General features: G+C 35.3%; 1 protein-coding gene across 14 annotated transcripts in view, besides 1 other annotated feature; it reads left to right on the top strand.

The window, feature by feature from the left end:
• Positions 1-6848, top strand: part of HIVEP2 (HIVEP zinc finger 2) — a 194265-nt gene that overhangs the window by 100051 nt on the left and 87366 nt on the right. The window lies entirely within an intron of this gene.
• Positions 2188-2477: an enhancer, noted in NCBI's record as "active region_25181". NCBI's record gives its function as "activates an Ori minimal core promoter by ATAC-STARR-seq in GM12878 lymphoblastoid cells {active_cell/tissue: GM12878}" and the evidence as "EXISTENCE:reporter gene assay evidence [ECO:0000049][PMID:35858748]".

Genomic DNA, 6848 nt, shown 5'->3' with positions numbered 1-6848 from the left:
GTTAGTGAGGACATCAATTCTGGCTCGGGAAATCTTCCTTAACTGAACCTTTGTTTCCACCATGGTCCCAGGCTTGTAGTTAGAAGTCTGTGCTGTTGCAAATTTAACTCTGTAACTTCTGGTAATATCCATGTGTAATTCTAAAAGCAGGTGACACAGAAACACAGATGATTATAGTGATAGGTACCAAGGAGAAAAAAATGGGACTACGCCTAATAATTAGTCAAAAGACATACGTATATATACACACACACACTTTGAAGAGAGAAAGAGAGAGAGGGAGGGAGAGAGAACTTATTGTTGATTAATTGTTTTCAGAAGAGCCACTTCAATTCCAATAAGAATCACCTCAGAGAACTGAAAGTAAACCATATCTGCTTCTAGTGTCTATGACACACCTTGCACTGTGCCTTAATAGGATTACTAATATTTCCCACAGAGGAGGAAGTCTTGCTTCTATTCTTGCAAAACCCCTCCCCCAAATCTGTCTCTTCACCAACAGTTATTTGTTTGTATTAAGTTTCATGATGTCCCAAGATTTTTGTTTGTTTTTGCTGTTTTCTTAATGTAAATGTTTTCATAATGAGAACACGTTACATTTTTGACAACCTAGCATGAAAAATCTTACCAGCTCTTTTCTGCAGTAGATGCAGCGTGCAGCCTGCAAAGACCCCATGTCCAGGTTAGGCCAGGTCACCTGAACAGGACCAGGATAGAAAGGGGAAGAGATTTGTAGAAGACACACTTCGTGGTCTCACTAGGGTGTGCCTGTTTGCATTTTGTTTATTGTTTTTGCAACCATTCATATGTGTTTATTGTTTTTGTAACCATTCATAAGTAGCAGTAATTTAGCATTCTCATATTAATATTTTTTTTCTTGTCACTAGTGAGTGTTTGCATGTGTGTGTGCATTGGATTGACGGGAGGGAAGGTGACTCTGTTGGTACATCCTGAATACTAGGATCTTGTTCGGCCCAATCGCAGTGTTACAGGTATCTTGTTAACATTCAAGCCTTGATGCTTTGAAATAGCAGTTTTGCCGTAATTCATTGCCTAAATTCTGACTTCCTTACTAAGAACAGGAAGCATAGTGAAGTTTGGTAGGAGAGAAACATACCTCGGACAGTAACTGTGGCTAAACCATAGTCATGGCATTTAACATTAATGTGAAACATAAGATTTGTAAGTCTTCCAAGTACCATTTCTTAATGCTTACAATAAGATGACGAATTTCATAGTTCCCAAGATGAAAAGATGGAAATAGAACTCAGTGAGATTACTGACCTGACTTAGGAGAGCTAAAATATTAGGTTTCTCTTTCAAATACTTCCTTCTTGCAGCTTGCAAGTATGCTCATCCCTCTGCAATTCTCTTCATTAAAAAAAAAAAGTTTAGAGATTGAATGTTTATGTTTGTATTGACCTGTGGAATCCTCAGTTGCTTTTCTGTTGAATCCATTGTGCAATACCCAACGTATTGTGGGTTGGTAGGAAAAACTCTTTTAAGATTAAAAAAAACACATAAGGTATAATTCATTAATAATTTCATTCTGTTTCTGGATATGTTTTCTTCCCATTGTCAGCCAGTGTGGGAGGAAAGAGAAGAATGGAAGAATATTGCTGGAGTTGAGGGTGTTGTGTGGGTATGTGCCATCCGAAAGTATGTTACAGGAGAAAAAAATTCTTTTTATAATAAAAGTAAAATTCAAGTACTCGAAGTAACAGAAGATTATTAAATCTATTGTAGTGAAAAGTTATGATTCTAATGCTCTGAAAGTCTTAATCATTAAAGACATATGTTAACCAAAGGCATACATATGCATAAATATATGTACAAAAATGGTAATTTTGTGCTCCCAGGCTCAAACCTAAAATGTCATTCATAACACTATTGCTGCTGCCAATGGAGAAAATTTGCATAAGACTAAGGCAAAACTACCCATTCTTTCCTGTCCTGGAATAGAATTATAATTTCCAAACCGACAAATTTTAAACAAGGCCAGAGTTTCCTTTCACCTGGTTCAAAGTGAATTCTGATTAAAAGCTTCCAATGATAATATCTATAACCACAAAGCAGGCTCACCGTAGCTTTCTCTTGTGGGAACTCTAGGCTCTCCCTTCTAGAATTGCCCTTAGTGGTGGCCTGCTCTTTCTTTCTCTACATCCACCCCTTCCCTTAACTTGGGGCTGCACACGTCCAGCTTGCTCTATGAAGCCATTTGCGACCACTCTAGTCCCCACAGAACTCTTCCTGTTCTCAACTCCTATTATCCTTAGAGTCTTTTTCACACATTTAGCTTTTATTTTTTTAAAACATACTTTTTTTCTGTATTAGCTCAGTCACCTGTTATGTACTTTATTATAACAACTGGCACAGGTAACTAGTAAGTGTTCTTAATTGGTTGATTGTGATTTCTGGTGTCTGGCTATTAGGAAACTATTGTTACAGACTACAGTCTTGCTTCTCAAAGTGTAGACCAGCGAACTTATCACCTGGGAACTTTGGGGTTCCACGTAGACTTTCGGAATCAGAACCCATATTTTTAACAAGCTCCCCTGGTGACTCATCTACATGTGAAAATATTATAAAGCACTGCTGAGGAAGGTCCCTCTCTTGGGAAAGGGTAGAGGCCCTATAGACATTCAGCTTTCCCTTCGTGCAAGTGTTTTCCTGTTGTGATTTAGGTATCTGATCGTAGCAGACAACAGCTTGCTCTTACTGTAACTACGATGTTGTCAGTTTCATCTTTACACAGAATGAATCATGTTTAAATGTGGCCAGGGGGCTCTGTCTGAGGTCACCAGGACTGTATTTGTATTCTGATTCAAGACAACCACCAGATCCTAATCACTAATATCTCTTTAAATGGCCTTTAAAAAAAAATCTTATACTAAGAAGCAGAAAGTACGATTTCCTTTTCCTTAGTTACTTTTTTTTTTTCACTTAAAGTGCTTACACCCACTCAGCTTGCTATTTTGAACTCTGGGAAAGAAAATTTGTGGGCATCTTGCAGTCTTTCAGGAAACAAGGCTTAAATTAAATATTTGCCACATTTTCTACGTGGTTCTTCAGGAAAGTGGAGAAGCACATCACTCCTTCTTTCACTCGACTTGACAAACTTGACACATAGTGTGACTTTCAAAGTGCGGATGGCAAACAGTTTCAGTTCTTATTTGCCTATCTACACACAGACGTTCAGGTCTTTTTTTTCTTCCCATTTTTTCTTTTTGTCCTTCTCTTCCCTTTCAGTACAGAGTCTAGAATTCTTCATGTACCATATCGGTTATGTAAACCATAAGATTCCTTGAGAGTACCTAGCTTTGTGAAATCAAGGAAGATAACACGTGGATTTAGTTAACATGCACAACAAAATTTAGACTATTTTCAGTCAAACTTAGGTTTAACATATTTTATTTATAATTTTAAGTGATTTGTATTTCTGCACTTTTTCTCTATCTTTGAACTCAGAACTGTTTCACAGATAGCAGAAATAAGAGACAATGGTGGGTGGAAGGGAAGGAGGAGGGCTCTAGCTAGCTGAAGCCATTCAGCTGTGTTTTAAAGGAACTCAGGGCTTTGTCATGTAAATATTCTAAGGAATAGAATGGTTACATGAGATATTATTTTGTGGTGGTGATATTGTTTACATGCAGTTTTAATTTCATTTTGGTCAAGGAAATGAAGATATTTTATTTAAGATAGGATTTTAAGTACTTGTCTTCTATTTAATCAGCATTTTCCGGCATGTAAAGGAAGTGATTTAGGGAACCTTGTGAGGAATTCACACAATTTAATTGCTGGACATGAAGAATGAAGTATTTCCAAGCAAGTGAAATGGAAATGAGGAAAGACAGAGAATCAGGAGACTTGCAGAATATAAATGTCTATTGAATATAAATGTTAAAATGTCGTATATGTAGAGATTCATAATAATATGCAATTTTTTTAAACATGGGACAACAAAATGTTGAAAAGATGCATATGTATATAATTCAACTCAATTTTAATCAGACTGCTAATGGGAATATTCTGAGTATGACTGAATATGGAGGGCAAACAGTACACTTAATTAAATAATATAATCTGAAAAAATGGGTGAAAATTTCCCACATATACTCATGCAGAAAAGAAAATATCGATGAACATTTGAAAAAAGAAAATGAAGAGTAGTTTCTAGCTCTACCATGGATTTGAACATACTACGAAACAACAGTAATTAAAACTAACACACACACACACAAAGTTCATGTGATTATGCACATGAAAACGACCTAACACAATGCCAGTCACATCATACTGGCAGTCTGAACAAAAGTTCCATTTTAAATATGTGGATTGATGTAACTAAAGGGTGAGCCCAGAAATAGACAAATTATAATACAACATAATAAAGCAAGCTTATAGAAAGATGTGTGAGGAAGGAAAACTTAGTAAATAGTATTATGGATAATTTGGAATTGGTCAGAACTATCTGAATACATACCTTATGCTATGGATCTAAATATATGCCTGATATATTAAATGGTTAAAACAAATTTACAGGAAAAAATGTATAAAAAATTAATATATATTACATAAAGGGTCATTTAAGTTCATAAGAAGAACTATGACCTAAAGGTAGTCAAATTATGTGAGTAGATACATTTTATATTAGAGGTGAAAGACAATAAAATAATTTTTAAATAAGAGAATAATTATGGTCACCATTAAAATAAAAATGACACCCTTAAATATCATATTACATTAAATAAGCCTCTGAAAAGAAATTTTAATTACATGCAATGGTGAGGAAGTTTGGTGAAAGTAGAATGCACATCTACTGCTGGTGGCTTTGTAGATAATTTCAATCTCTTGAAATCAATATGGCCATAAATATGAAGTCCATTATAAACATATTTTTGCCTTTCAATTTGATAATCCTATTTTTGAGAATATTCTAAGAAAAAACAGTATTGGTGGTACTGAAAATTAGTGAGAACATTTGAAATGTTGCCACATATAGGAATGATGAAGGAAATGACTTTATGTTAGCTTTATGGAATATCATATGGCTAGTAAAAATGAAAACTGAATTTCATGGAAATAACATACTTACGAAATGTTAAATTAAAAAATCAGAATACACAATTATATGTGCATTATGAGGACATCTCAGTGAAAATATGCTTACATGGGGACAAATAATAGATTAAAATTTTTAAAAATGAAAAGATTGTGTTTGGGTAATGGGATAAATGGTGTTTTTCTGGTTAAAAATGTCATCAATGTTTTAAGTGTTTATAAGGAAAAATAATATTAAAAATATTAAAATAATAATATTTTAATAAAATATTAAATATTAAAATATTTAATATTAAAATAAATAAAAAAATATTAAAAAAAAAAAAATAAATAAGGATAGCTGTACTAATTAGCCACAAGGGGAGGGCTTTTCAAGAGTCACTTTGAAACCCTACAAAATAGTTAAGATGTCTTGGGCGTATAACTTGTCAAGGTATTCTTGATTTCCCTATTTTAATTGGCCACTTCTCCACTGGGTTTGTGAAGAGACGAGTTGATTGTAACCATGATGAAGGGGGTACTCTGGAGACCGTGGTATTTGAGGTCTGTTCTCTCTCACTCTGAACTCATTACTCTCCCCTTTTCCTTCCCATCCTAAGCTGATAAGCAAGTTTAACATAGTTGCTGTTCAGTAAACTCTTGCTAGCCATGATTGAATTTTTGCCTATGAGAGGCACAGTGGCTCTACGATGCAAAGGGGAAAACAGTAGAATAGTATTCAGGAAAACTGCTTCTAGTTGCATGACCTTTTGCAAGTGACCTTCTGGGCTTCAGTTTCATTGTCAATGAAAGGAGAGTGTTTGATGACTATTAAAAGAGTTATTTAGGTCTATAGAGACATTATGATACACAGGCTTACTCGAGAGTGTGGTTGCTACTCTAGAGGGCTCCTCAAAAAGCTCATTTACTGTGATCAGTATTGCAACAGTATGATCAATTCAACTGCTCCCAGGGAGTGTCCTGGTGAACTCAGGGAGCATGGTTCCTGTGTACTACTCCCGGTAGACCACTCAGCTAGAGAAAGTCACTCAAGCCCAGCATTGTGTGTACATCTGATTTATTACATGCGAATAACTGAAACAAACCAATTGGTGACAAGCATGATCAAATATTAGCTAATGATAAATTGCTCCATTGTTTAGACCATGTAACATATAACTGAAATACAAAGGTCAGATGTCCTTAGATTTTCTGATAGAGCCAAAAAACACTAAGAGTCCCTCCCCCAACCCCCAACCCCTGCCCAGGTTGGTAAGGCAGGCAATACAAACAAATTAAAAGTAAGGAAGTTTAGAGTCAGTGACTTTCATCAGGTTATAAAATTATTTGAGGTGTTGCACTGCTGTATGGTGTAGCGATTGTAGGCCATTTACCATCGTGTGTTTATTTTCCTTTCATTATATGTGGTTATTTTTAAGGAAGTGAACATTTCTAAATAAATATTATATTGTGGTTTGTACGCGAGGCTTACCTGTTGCACAGGCAACAGATCTGCTTCTTCTGGGCTAATCAGTACAGTCATTTAGCTGAATCATCCATATGGGTGACTAATATATTTTGTACTTAGTGCTTTTGAACTTTGATATGAGGTGTCCATTACTACCACTTTTAGGTACTCTATGGGAACACTGAAAAATTCCTAAGTAGATTGAAGTCACTGACCACTTAGACAACCAGTTAGAAATGAGAGCATAGTTGCTGCAATACAGGTGAAAAACCTTTTAACATATTGCTTAATGACTGGTTGTCTTAGGAAATGGAAGACCTCTTACGAGGCAAGAATTACA

Source organism: Homo sapiens, chromosome 6 (assembly GCF_000001405.40).
Source record: "Homo sapiens chromosome 6, GRCh38.p14 Primary Assembly".
Classification (NCBI taxonomy): domain Eukaryota; kingdom Metazoa; phylum Chordata; class Mammalia; order Primates; family Hominidae; genus Homo; species Homo sapiens.
Note: the sequence above shows the minus strand (reverse complement) of the source record. Positions and strands in the feature narration are given on the sequence as shown.